This window comes from Homo sapiens, chromosome 4, assembly GCF_000001405.40.
Source record: "Homo sapiens chromosome 4, GRCh38.p14 Primary Assembly".
NCBI classification, from domain to species: domain Eukaryota; kingdom Metazoa; phylum Chordata; class Mammalia; order Primates; family Hominidae; genus Homo; species Homo sapiens.
Genome location: NC_000004.12, coordinates 80,573,062 through 80,587,804, shown reverse-complemented (window position 1 = coordinate 80,587,804; position 14,743 = coordinate 80,573,062). Strand labels below are relative to the sequence as shown.

The following is a 14,743-nucleotide window of genomic DNA, read 5'->3' as shown; positions in this document are numbered from 1 at the left end:
GCCTGGGCAAAATAGGGAAACCCTGTCCCTACAAATAATAAAAAAATTAGCTGGGTGTGGTGACACATGCTGGTAGTTTCAGCTTTTCAGGAGGCTGAGGTGGGAGGATACTTGAGCCCAGGAGATCTTGGCTGCAGTGAGCCATGATGGTACCACTGCGCTCCAACCTGGGCAACAGAGCAAGGCACTGTCTCAGAAAAGAAAAGAAAAAAAACCACCTACCAAGTTTTAGGCTTAGATGTGCTTTACACATTATATAATTTTATTCTATAAATATCTCAGCAGTGTGAAAATTATTATCCCCATACTTTGGGTGGGGAAACTCAGGCTGTGTTGAGTTGAGAAATGTGTCTTCAGCTTGTGATAAGTAGAAAATCCAAGATTCAAACTCAGATAAGATGACTCCATAACCTTCGCTCTTTCCTGCACTTCTCACTGCCTCTGTATCAAATTTTTATCCAGGAAATAAGGAAATTAAAGATCTATCCAGCTATAGTTTTTCTGGTGAAATAAATGTTGATATACATTTTCCCCCAAACGTTGATGTAATTTATTTAAAATGAGGGTAAGATTGTGTGAGTCATATAATTTCCATAAGGGTTTATTAGTGGACAAGCATGAATTCTATTAAAAAAGAAATAAACATCTGTATAATACCTTCATTTTCTTTAAAGGGAACATTTTATAAAAGTTGGAAAATAGGAAGGAGGGAAAAGATCATGTCAGCACAATGTTATTGGTCATATACAACGCAATCTTATGTTTCATAGAGATTTCAACACAGGAAATGGGTATATTAGGAACCACCTAATTCATAGGTTTTCCTGACCCAGGTACAGTGGTTTCTTTGAATGACTCTGAAGGAAAAGCTGTAGGCAATGTTTTTTTACTAGCTTCAATAATGCATATTTCAAAGCCAAAACTAGTCATCCATGTGACTGTTTACATAGTCAACATTCAGTGGGAAAATAAGTGTCAATGGGTCTCACTTTTCCCACCCCGAACAGCATGTGACCTCTCATTATAATCTTCATGAGTCTTTGATTAGAAAGGAAATGTTTTATTTTTTTTCACTCAACAAATCAGGGATTCTTAGTTTACTACCATTTGAAAAATAATTATCTCCTCTCCCAGCTGCTTGTTCACTAGAAAGAATTACATAATCCTATTATATTAGAAGCACTATAGGGAGGACCCATGTTCTATACATCTTTGTTTTTGGCAAATAGTAAAGCGGTTTGCACAGACTATAAGTTAAAATGGACAGTCGTTCCTACAACACTAAAAAAATCTATAGTGTTTCTTTAAAAAATATTCTGATAGCTATAATATCTTACATTGATCAACAATCTTTACATCTCTAATAAAATCTATAAGCAACTGTTTGTCTCAAAGAACTGTTTCAACTATCTTTTCTAAAGAGAAATTCAAATCCAATCAATGTTTTCCTTAAAGACTAGCAGCAAAAGTATTGCATATTTTCTATATCTATTTTATTCACAATTATAGCTTTAGCAGTTATAACACTCCTTTATTATAAAATTTATTATATATTAAATAGTTGTCATGTATCATACAGTGTGACAAATATTTAATCTATATTTTCAATAATAAATATTAAGATGAGGTTACTCTTTTAATTCCCACCTTACAAAGAAGGAAATTGTGGCTTAGAAAATACAGTAATGTCCTTTTGAAATCCATAATACTTGGTAGGCAGTGAGTCTGGAACTTCAGTCTAGTTACTGTCTACCTCAAAAATCTGTTTTTTAATCACTGAACTATACTAAATCCTCTAAAGCCAGGATTATATGTCTTTCCATTATTAAAATTATTATCAGCTGCTCACTCTCCACTGAATCCTACAAATCACTATTTCTTACATAAAAACAAGCACATGGTTTCCAGATTTTATCTCCTAAGTAATCACTCAATCTATCTTTATCTTCCCATTCATTCTGTCATTTATTTATCCCAGGCTTCTATTATGCATCTATTATGTATTGCCTGAACTGTTACAATGGCCTCTCAGTTGACCTCCCTGTCTTATATATCATTCCCTATCTCTATGGAGACACACTTATCCCCATATACTGCTGCCAGTGTACTCTTAAGTTGCATGTCTGATCACATTAACCATTTGTATACATTATTTTAAGGACATTCATCACCTTCATCTCAGTAGCTCTGTCCACACTACTGAGCACAGCAACATAGCCCTTAGACCTGGCTGTTGCCCATCTCTTTGGCTTCATTGCCTCCTCTCCCACATTTATTTGAGAATTATTTACCAAGTAAAATTGACCAGGGTTGGTGACCAAATGGATGTGAGATCTGATAAGTGGAAAAGGAAAAAAATAACTTAGTAATAGAGCAAATGTTGAGCATTTGAGGGATAGCAATATGGAGGTAAACTTTGGAGTAGAGTTCAGATCTTTTTCTCCAGCTTCTTAACATCTGAACATATTCTTTTGTCAAAAACAAATCAAATTCAGTATGTTCAAAATCAAACACATGATCTCTGTGCCCTACTTCTGATCTTTTAGTACACTACATTTCAGAGTGGCAGTACCATCTATCTATCTCCAAAGACTACCCTCTTTCTTTCTATCCCTTCCTTAACTATATCCTATCACAGCATCCTGCCAAATTTGCCTTCTAAATAGCTCTCAAATCATTTCTCTTCATCTGATTTTGCAGTGCATCTGCTGGCATCCGCTTTATCCTTTCTATAATTTATTCCCTATACTAAAGGCACACTGATGTTTTCTGTCTGAAAATCTGATTATATCATCCTCTACCCACTTTCACACAATCAGAGATTTTTATGTTTTTCCTCCATAGCACCTGTCACATTGCATTTTGGCTTTATTTCTATACAAATAATGATTATTTGATTATTCATTTTCTGCCCCAAACAACTGTAAGCTCCATAAGCACTTGCCACCCATTGTATCCCAAGCAGTTAGTACGATGCCTCATATAGAGCCACTTATCACTACCTGTTTAACGACTAAGTGAAAAAACATAATTAATAGATGAAAAAAAATCTAGGTTTCTGTTTTTGTAGCAGGAAACAGAATCAGTAGGCTCATGGGTTTTGTTGATTCACTAAGGGAAAATGTGTATAGTAGAAGAGATACAGGTCAACTGGAGGTATAAGATGATCCGCCCAAGAAAGAGATTGAGTTAAAAAGTCAGAAGAAAGTAGAAAAACTATAAGATAACTATATCACAGACACCAAGGAAGGAAATAAAACAGGTTGATCTGCTCTGTAAATACCTCAGAGTAGTCTGGAAAGAAATTGGAAATTATTGTCTCAAAATAATCCATTTTACCTCTCTAATTTTTAACTAGTATTTTCTTCAATTACCACATCTTGACCTCTAACATTTTCCTTAGTCTCTATCACATACATGAAATACTCTTAAGATGTACATCTTCATTAAAGCATCCTCTGCAATTCTACCATTCCTATTGCAACATTTCTGGAGATTAAATTATGTCCTAGTCTTAGCCTCGTTTAAATATTTAATTTCTATAACTTTTCCATTGACATTTCTGAGAAAATGCATTCGTAATAGCTCATATATTCATTCAGACTTTTCTGCTGTGATTACTAAAGCTGTCCAAAGTCTAGTCTCTGCCCATATTTCCATCCTCACCCTTTTAAAACCTCTGTCAGCCTACTTCCTACAAGAAATTTTCCCTTATTTTAAGTCGGGGTTAATTCTATTCTATTAACTAAACATGGTATGATTTTTTTCTCTCTCTGAACTACATTGAGGGTTTTGCCTGCATGTGATATTTTCAGTGGACCTGATAGTGGGAAAAACTCCAAATTTTTTATTGAGAAAATATTGGTAGAATAGATCTCCTTATATACATATTTTTCTGTTGCTCTAAATTTTTTATCACACTATTTCTGATTATTTTTCTGTAAGTCAGTCACTTACTACAGTTTTAGCATGAATATTTGCCTTTTCTATTAAATTTGATTTGGAACATGTTAAGACTTACAAAGACTGTTATCACAAATATCATATTAACAAAGTGTGAAAGTAAATCTTTATTCCAAATAATATTCGCATTCTCTACATATTTGATATAGCACACATTTTAATAAAGTAAAAGTATATTCTCCTTGGATCATTCAAAATAATAATGATAACACAGTTCTTCTACTACGTGATTTGTATCCCATCTTCCAAGGTAGGACTAAAAGGCAGACTATGGTACTATATTCTAGAAGTCACATAAAATCAGGGGACAAAACTTAGGGTCAGTGGGTGATGCAACTTGGGAGAATGTAAGAAGAGGTTAAGTTTAAAAGAAGCAGGAGGGTTTACCCAGGTTAAAGAACCATTCTGCCATGCATAGGCATTTTCTCTGCAATGAATGTTTAGAATCCTTTTTCTTTTTAACTATTTGGCTACTTCTAGAGATGTAAATGATAATTTTTAACTTTCTATGTATATTCCTATAATATATAATTAATAAAGAGGAATCATATTTTATATCTTGTAAATTACTTTAAGAAAGATATTTAATGTTACATTTTTTAATATTAATTGTGCATTTAGTGTATACATTTTAAGCTGTTGGATGAAATGTACTTACACTCAGTTTTCCACTGCGATTGTCTTCTTCTCTCATTGCCAGGGCCGTCAGAAAATTATCTTGTAGGTCTTTACCAGCACTTGTTAGCGTCCTGTAAAAGGCAGATCTTCAGTTATAATATATTAGATAACAAATATGTTTCCAACACTCTGGAGCCAACAACAATGCTTCTTTAAGTGACAATTTCCTTGCAACATGAAAACCATATAAATAAAATCATGATCTACTAGATTCCTCAATTTAATTGTATATAGTAATAGAGTCTTTATTTATAAACACTTGGAATCAAGCCTTTAAATAATATATCCATATCAAGACTCATGGCAGATATAATTTCATTTACATGCCCATTTCGTTCTTTTTTAACATATCATGAAAAGTCAACATGTTCGTATGGCTCACTTCTCACAAAAATTTTAAATTGCCTATAACTTTAGTACAGTTTATTAATTTAAGGAAATTAAAATACTAGACACCTATGCTATGCAGTTACTGGAGTAGAGCATTAATTTTAGCTCTATGAGTAGAGATAATCAAGGCAGGAAACGAAACTAGGTTGACCTATCTTTGTCAGATGAAAGGAAGCATCAAGAATTCAAAAAATATCATTCTCTGGAAATATATTTTAAAAGAAATGTATCACAAAGATCTCAATCAAGCAAAACTGAACCACATAATAGTGAGTTCAAGAGTGATTTGTGAAATAATACTATTTTCTTTATTTAGCAATTTCTTACATATTCCACAAACTTTTTCATTATGTGTCTGCTATGAACCAGTAACTGTATCAGGGCACAATGATGCACAAGACATAGTTCCTGCTCTCAAGTTGACTATGGTCTCATAGAGGTAAACAGATACATAAACCAGATATATAAACATAATGTCATACCATGTGATAACTGGAATAACAGAGATATAGACCGAGTATCAGAGGAGTTCATAAAAGAAGTATCTTATTCAATGAAAAGTCACTTAATCTCAAATTTAAAACCAATTATTCTTGAACTTAATGTTAAAACTTGAGATAGTATTAATCAGTTTGTGGGGTGGAAGGAGAGAGTTATCAGTAAATACAAAGGAATAAAGAAATTCAAATGTAAAATTGCAAGGCAATCGGGTAATGGCAAAACAGAGAGTAAACACAAGAATTGAGAGAGAAACCAGGTAATATTAATAGAAGTTAACATTATAATAAACATATTGTTATAAATATTTAGTAAGTCCAGATAGTAGAGTCTGGTCTTAGAACTCATTCTTACAACCCCTTTCAGGGAAGGTTTGTGTGCTCATGCTACCAGAAAGCGTTGAACCAAAAGGGTCTAATGCAAGGAAGCAAGATAATCAAATCTGTGTTTTAGAAACAGTATTCAGCAACTTTGAAAAAGGTAGCCTGTAGGAGAGCAACACTGCAGGGATTAATTAAGGGACTATCACAAACCTTTAGAAAGAGATGATGAATATCTGATTTAAAGAAGTGATGGTAAGGATAGGAAGGAAATGATAGATTTGGGAAATATTTAAGAGATAAAATACACCTAGTGATTGCTTTTTGCAAAGAGTTAAGGAGCAATTACTACTAGGTTAAATCATTGCAACCTACTGTTTATGTTATTGATCTAGAAATGTAGCTCTTTAAATTGATCATAACTTGTCTGCTTTTGCTTTTCTGGCTTTATCTTCCTCAGCTTGTCATATATATATATATATATATATATATATATATATATCTCACTTAATATCTATATATATATCACTTAATAATAAAAAACCTAAATATACATGGAAAATAACTACTAATTAGTACCAAAGGAGAGAATCAGATATTTGAGAATTTCTTTAATTCACTGTTCTGTCCAAAAGTGAGTGTTCCATGTTACGATATGTACTATGTACTATTTTAATATTAAATGTTTAAAACAGAAAAGTAATTTTGTCAGTTGCTTGTTTAGAAAATCTACATATTTTCTACTGCTCACAGGATAAGCTTCTAATCACTTATCCAGCTTCTACCTAATTTCCTGCTTATGGTCTGTTTTAAAAACCACAGTCTGTTGGAAATTCTCTGTGAAATTTGAACAGAGAATTCATTTTACAAGTACATAAATCAACAGTGGTTAGGTTATACTGTAGTAACCAATGGCCCAAATCTCAGTGGTTTAAAATTGCAAGAGATTACTTCTCAATAATAATATGCATAAATAGCAGGTTTACTGCGGCTCTTCATCTTGGGGGACTGAGACACTGATGAAACATCTTCTATCTGAACCATCTTTTGTTATTGTGCAGAGGAAAAAGAGAACATAGCCACACATTGTCTCTTAGAGCTTCTGCTTAAAAGTAACACATATAACTTCTACTCATATTTTCTCAGCCAAAGCAAGTGCTATGGCCAACCTTGAAATCAATGGGGTGAGAAAATACAATCCTGTCTAGGAATTTTTAGTAAATATTTGTGAACAGTAGCTCAGACACTCATAGCTTCCTATAGCATAACCAACAAAGGTTGAGACTAGATTGCTCAGAAAATAAGAGCAGGAAAGAAAAGAATTTCTGAGCAAATTCTGATAGTACAGAAAATTTGTTAACTTGGTTCACTGTAGTGTAACCAAGTAAAGGCTCTTTTGAGAATTAAAATCACTAATCCTAGCTTCAAAACCAAACCTTCCCCTACATACCCACAGAGCATCCTAAAAATTACAGTTGAAGGAAGGAAGTGTCAATAGATTTAGTCTTCTGTGACAGTTGTAGACATCTATTGCTTTTGCCTCCTAATATTGTTTCTTCCTTTTTATTGGCAACACAACCCTAACTTTCACTTGGGCAACAGTCTTTTCCACGCTCTTTGCCTTAGTAGAATCAAGGTACCCAATTACTTAGAACTCCCACCTCCCAAACCTCAGCTAATGAATACACCTCAAGCTTTGTCAATGTCATTTCACCTCATGAGAATGTAAATCTTTAACAGAGACACAAGAATGAAAGGTAGCTGAGTTATAGTGGCTACCCTTACTTCCTACTACAGTCTTATTCAACTTTGTCTTTGAATCTATGATAATCAGTGCTCTTCCAATTCCCTTTTTGATTTTGTTCATTAGAATTGGTTTCTGTTGCTCACAATAAAAACCTGTAATTGATACAATGACTATACAGTTAGGGTACTACAGAATTCCTAAGAGTTTCCACAAAATATGTCTACTTCCTACTCCCACTACCTTCCCAAGCATAGCTTATTTTGCTGTAAATTTTTAGAGCTTTACAGATAAAGTCCAATTTGATCATCAGCCCTGATCCCACAGCACAAAAGGTAATGATCACATCAGTTTTGCCTGTAGCCTTCAAGGTTTTTTAAATTATATATAGATATATGTCTACAATGTATCTATATATTTGTGTACTGATTAAAATATATATAGTATCATGTGGTCAGTTTTTCATTTTATTATATATTTTGCAACTTACTGTTTTATTGCTGTTGTTATAACTATTCCTGGAAGTGGATCTTTATGAAAGTTCCAAAGAAAATCAAAATTATCCCTGATCTATCAGATACAAAATGCCAGAAAAATAGATTTTTAGGCATCATTCACTAGTAAGGATGGGACTCTTAATATTTTGCTAAGCGTGACTCTCTTGCTAATGGCCGAGGTTTTCAGCAGATATCTGGGCTGGACAAGAAAATAAGGTAATAGGCAATAGAATTCTTACTGTCCCTGGACACTTAACTATGGCAGACACTGTTCCCCCTTCTTCCGTAACAATGAAAGCCCCTGTTTTCACTTGGGCATGTAGCAGCCTGGAATAAAGACCACATTTCTTAGTCTCTTTGCAGCTAGTTATGTTCATGTCACTAACTTTTGCACATTAAGAGCCAAGTGAAAATGATTTGCGCCTTCTAAGGCGTGTATTTAAAGTAGGGAAGGGTACTTTTTTTCTTGTAGCTAGAATGCAATATAATGACTGAAACTCCAACTGCCATCTTGGCCATAAGTTGGAGGCCACTATTATGGAGAAACAAAGAGAGGAGCAGGGTCCCTGATATTTCAGAATACCAACACAGCCTTGAGTGACACCAGCTGAACTTCTTGAATATGAGACTGAAAAGAATTTATATTTGCTTTCAGCCACTGTCATTTTGGGGTTTTCTGTTACTTTTTTACCCACCTAATCCAAAAAGATACTTGACCATTTGAAATTTGTTCACTTTTCTGGAAAAAGATGCTCTTGTGCGATTGGCTTGGTGATCAAATTGGAATTTAACCTTAGGTGAAATATTCTAAGAATTTCCCAGGAGACTGTATTACTTACATAACTAAAATGAATTTTCTAAGACAGTCATAGGTTAAGTCTATTAAATAATAGCACAAGATAATAAAAATTAAACTAAAATATAAGATGGAATATCAATCTTTAATTCCTACTCATTTATCAACTGTTTAGTCCAAACAACCACATTTTTCTGAACCTTGATTTCATGCTGTGCTAAATATATCTAGGCCCAATAGCAGATGTAAAACTTGTGGTCTAAAGCAATCATACTGTATCATTAACCAGCAAACATCATTAATATATAATTAGTCCAAGAAAATGACTATTATCCTGAAATATCCTAAGTTCATACTGTTCTTCTTTTATTATTATGCAAGTCTCGCATACATAGACTTACATCATTTCTTATAAACTCAATGAGGAAGATAAAAGTATTATATAAATTTGGGACAGAGAGGATAAGGATCTTTGGCTCCAAAGCTATCCGAAGCAGAGAAAAAAATGTTACATAATAATCCTTCTTATATTGTGCGACAGCTGAGAACCTGAAACTTCTTAGCAAGAGGAAATATTGGAAAAGAATGAAAGTTAATGCAGAGTGTGAGGTAAGGAATTCTTAAATCTTTAACATGCATTACTCTTATTTAACTAGGTTTATTTAACAGTCAGTGACCTAAGAAACCTTGCTTAAATAAATATTACAAAAGCAGTTACTTCCTCAAGAAGTGAAGTAGGTCTGTTTCAAAATCTTAGTGTTATAAGTTCTACAAAGGCAAATACTCCATCTTTATTGTTCATACTCCACTGCACTTTCAAAATGTGGTAAAAGTTATATGGATGAGTTAAATTTTACCAACCATGATTAATCAATAGCTAAAGCTATTTATATAATCCTACTTGAATGATTATAAACATATTATTAATCTTCAACAATTAGGTTACTGGTTTTATGATTTAAGTATGTTGTCTGTATATCATTATCACATAAACTGACATTATTAGCTTAACACTCAAAACGAATGAATAACAAAAGGAAAATAATTGGAAAACTGTTAAAGTAGAAACTTATTTTCAAGAGTTACTTTTTAAGAGTTTATTTTTTAAATAAATTCTTTCACTACATATTTGTGATATCAATTATTTTTTGGATTTTTAATGTATAACTGGAAGTGTTCTAACAAACAAAGTTTGATTAATCATTAAGATGTTTTCTAGGTCGGGCGTGATGGCTCATGCCTGTAATCCCAGCATTTTGCGAGGCCGAGGTGTGCAGATCACAAGGTCAATAGATGGAGACCATCCTGGCCAACATGCTGAAACCCTGTCTCTACTAAAAATACAAAAATTAGCTGGCGGTGGTGGCATGCACCTATAGTCCCAGGTACTCTGGAGGCTGAGGCAGGAGAATCGCTTGAACCTGGGAGGCAGAGGTTGCAGTGAACCAAGATCATACCACTGCACTCCAGCCTGGCAACAGAGCGAGACTCCGTCTCAAAAAAAAAAAAAAAAAAAAAAAATGTTTTCTAATAAGCAGTTTCTTAATAATCCCTAATTCAAATCTGGGATTAAATGTATTCTAACAGCAATACTTTTTAGCTATCGGGCACTGACTTTGTACTAGTCCCTATGCTAGACATTTTGCAAACAATTTTAATTATTTTCAAATAAACTCTAATAGGAAGTATATTTATAACTTCATTATAATCAGTTGGTATTCAGTTTTATTCTAGATTCACTAATTCTCAGGCTTTATTTCACTATAATGAAGGCTCACAATATATCAAAGCAGCATATCATAAACACTACATCATAATATTTTTACATTGTGAAAACAATGAGAATTCACTGGGGAGAAGGAACATAAATCAGTAGGGGTGTAGGAGAGTAGGAGGAGTGAGGTATGCAGACTTTATCTGGGGGTTCCCCTGGGAGTAATCAGAGTCGGCTGGTCTTGCAGTCTCTAAGGAAAGCTAATCAGCTATTATTGTCATTCCAGTCTAGACTGAAGTTCCATCAACTGTTCTGTTCAAAGGTAGATTTAATTTTTTTAAGCCAAAGAACTCCAATCTAGCCTATATTTCACATTTAGAGAATTTACATTCAACTCTTTCACACTTGTTTGAATATATAATGCAACCTCTCTGTGCCTTAGTTCCTTAAAATGTGTTGTATACTTAGTTTGGAAAAAATTAATGAAGAGCAAAGTGAAAAACAGTAGTTGAGTAAAAGTGTATTATACAAAATCTATAATGTTATCTTCTTAAAAAACAAACAAACACATCTATGAAAACATAGCTTACAGAAACAGTTCTATTTCCCACGGATAAATTTACTGACAGAACCATTTGTATATATTTATATTTGCATGGTCCCAAATAATTTAAATTCTATTTTTTAGAGGCCAAAATGGAAAATTATTTGCAAATTGATGAGAAAATATAATTTTATTTACCATAATATATAAACTCATTTGAGAGTTAAATATGGAAGATATGTTTTTACTGTATTTTGATATGGGGCACCTATTGCTCTATCAGACAGAGATAATATTTTTGTACATTTCCCAGAAAACATGACATTTTTCTGTTTTATCCTTTATATAAATTAGGAGAAAATAATTCTACCTTTCCACAGATAAAATTATTTATAATTCTTGAATGACCAGTGGGTCAATGAAGAAACTAAGAAAGAGATTTTATATATATATATATATATATTTTTTTTTTTATTATTATACTTTAAGTTCTAGGGTACATGTGCACAATGTGCAGGTTTGTTACATATGTATACATGTGTCATGTTGGTGTGCTGCACCCATTAACTCGTCATTTACATTAGGTATATCTCCTAATGCTATCCCTCCCCCATCCCCCTACCCCACAACAGGCCCCGGTTTGTGATGTTCCCCTTCCTGTGTCCAAGTGTTCCATTGTTCAGTTCCCACCTATGAGTGAGAACATGCGGCGTTCAGTTTTTTGTCCTTGCGATAGTTTGCTGAGAATGATGATTTCCAGCTTCATCCGTGTCCCTACAAAGGACATGAACTCATCATTTAAAAATATCTTGAAGCAAATGACAAGGGAAACACAACATACCAAAACCTATGGGATTCAGCGAAAGCAGTACTAAAAAGGTTTATAGCTATAAGCACCTACATCAAAAGAACACAAAAATTTAAAACAAACAACTTAATGATGCATCTTTAAAAACTATAAAAGCAAGAGCAAAACAAACCTAAAATTGGTATAAGAAATTAATAAAGATCAGAAATAAATTAAATTGAAATGAAGAAAACAATATAAATGTTCAACAAAAGGGAAAATTGGTTTTTTTGAAAAGATACAATCAGCAAACCTCTAGCCAGACTGCGAAAAAAAAAAGAGAAGACCCAAATAAATAAAATCAGAGTGAAAAAGAAGACATTAGCTGGTCATGGTGGCTCCTGCCTGTAGTCCCAGCTACCTGGGAGGATGAGGTGGGAAGATCACACGAGCCTGGGAAGTCAAGGCTGCAGTGAGGTGTGATAGTGCCACTGCATCCCAGCCTGGCAGACAGAGTGAGATCTGTTCTCAAAAAAAAAAAAATTTAATGAAAGTGAAAAAGGAGACATTATAACTGATACTGCAGAAATTCAAAGGATTATTAGAGGCTACTATGAGTAACTCTATGCCAATAAATTGGAAAACCCACATGAAATGAATAAATGTATAGATATGTATAACTTACCAAAATTGAACCATGAAGAAAACCAAAACATAAACAGACCAATAAAAAGTAACAAAATTAAAGCTGAAATTAAAAGTCTCCCAACAAATGAAAGTCTGGGACCCAATGACTTTACTGCTAAGTTTTACCACACATTTAAAGAACAACAAATACCAATCCTACTCAAACTATTCTGAAAAATAGAAAAGGATAGAGTAATTCCAAACTCATTCTACAAGGCCAGTATTACTTTGATACCAAAACTACCTACAAAGATACATCAAAAAAAGAAAACTACAGGCCAATATCCCTGATGAACATTGATGCAAAAATCCCCAGCAAAATACTAGCAAACTGAATTCAACAACATATGAAAAAGATTATGTATCATGACCAAGTGGAACTTATCCCAGGGATTCAAGGAGGATTTAGCATATGAAAATCAATTAATGTGACACATCACATCAACATAACAAAGGACCAAAACTATATCATCATTGCAATTGATGCTGAGAAATTATTTAGTAAAATTTAACATCCTTTCATGATAAAAACCCTCAAAAACTGTGGAAAGAAGGAACATACCCCCAAAACAATAAAAGCCAAATATGACAAACCCACAGCTAGTATCATACTTAATGGGGAAAAATTGAAAGTCTTTTCTCTAAGATTTGCAATAAGACAAGGATGCCCACTTTCTCCACTGTACTCCACATAGTACTGGAAGTCCTAGCTAGAGCAATCAGAAAAGAAAAAGAAATAAGGGTCATCCAATTAGAAAGGTGCAAAGGAAGAAGTCAAATTATCCTTGTTTGCAGATGAGATGATCTTACATTTGGAAAGACCTAAAGACTCCACTGAAAAACTATTAGAACTGATAAACAAATTCAGTAATGTTGCAGAATACAAAATTAATATAGATAAATCAGTAGCATTTCCATATATCAAAAGTGAATAATCTGAAAAAGAAATAAAAAATTAATCCCATTTACTATAGCTACAAACAAAATTAAATACTTAGGAATTAACCAAATAAATGAAGGATCTCTACAATAAAAACTATAAAATATTGATAAAAGAAATGGAAGGGGACACCAAAAAATGGGACAATATACCATGTTCATGGATTGGAAGAAACAATATTGTTAAAATGTTCACATTACCCAAAGAAATCTATGGATTCAATGCAATCTATATAAAAATATCAATGACATTCTTCACAGAAATAGAAAAACAATCCTAAAATTTATATGGAACCACAAAAGACCCAGAATAGCCAAAGCTATCCTAAGTAAAAGGAACACAACTAGATGAATCACTTTACCTGACTTCAAATTATACTATGGAGCTGTAGTAACTGAAACAGCATGGTACTGGCATAAAAACAGATACATAAATCAAAGGAACAGAATAGAGAACTGAGAAACAAATTCATACACCACAAGTGCATTCATTTTTTATAAAGGTGCAAAGAATATATATTAGGGAAATGAGTTTTCAATAAATGGTGCCAGAAATACTGAATATCCATATACAGAAGAATGAAACTAGACCCCTATCTCTCACCATATACAAAAATCAAATCAAGATGAATTAAAGACTTAAATCTAAGACCTCAAACTGTGAAACTACTACAAGAAAACACTGGAGAAAATCTCTGGGACATTGATCTGGGCAAAGATTTCTTGAACAATACCCCAAAAGCACAGGCAACCAAAGCAAAAATAGAAAAATGGGATCACATCAAGTCAAAAAGCTTCTGCACAACAAACAAAACAATCAACAAAGTAAAGAGACAACCCACAGAATGGAAGAAAACTACCCTTCTGACAAGGGATTAATAACCAGAATATACAAAGAGTTCAAACAATTGTATAGGCTGAAATCTAATAATCCAATCAAAAAATAGGCCAAAGATTTGAATAGACATGTCTCAAAAGAAGATATACAAATGACAAATAGGCATATAAAAAGGTGTTCAACATCATTAATCACTACAAAAATGCAAATCAAAACTATAATGAGATATCATCTCATTCCAGTTAAAATGGCTTTTATCCAAAATATAGGCAATAACAAATACTGGTGACCATGTGGAGAAAAGAGAACCCTGATACACTGTTGATAGCACTGTAAATTACTATAGCC

The 14,743-nt window shown here is 33.2% G+C and overlaps 1 protein-coding gene across 8 annotated transcripts in view; it reads right to left on the bottom strand.

The window, feature by feature from the left end:
• Window positions 1-14,743, bottom strand: part of CFAP299 (cilia and flagella associated protein 299) — a 642,486-nt gene that overhangs the window by 375,946 nt on the left and 251,797 nt on the right. For all 8 annotated transcript variants that reach the window (XM_017007976.2, XM_047449975.1, XM_017007977.2 and 5 more), the window contains one exon: window positions 4,622-4,712. In XM_017007976.2, coding sequence (XP_016863465.1) covers window positions 4,622-4,712 — 91 coding nt within the window. The remainder of the gene's footprint in view (window positions 1-4,621; window positions 4,713-14,743) is intronic.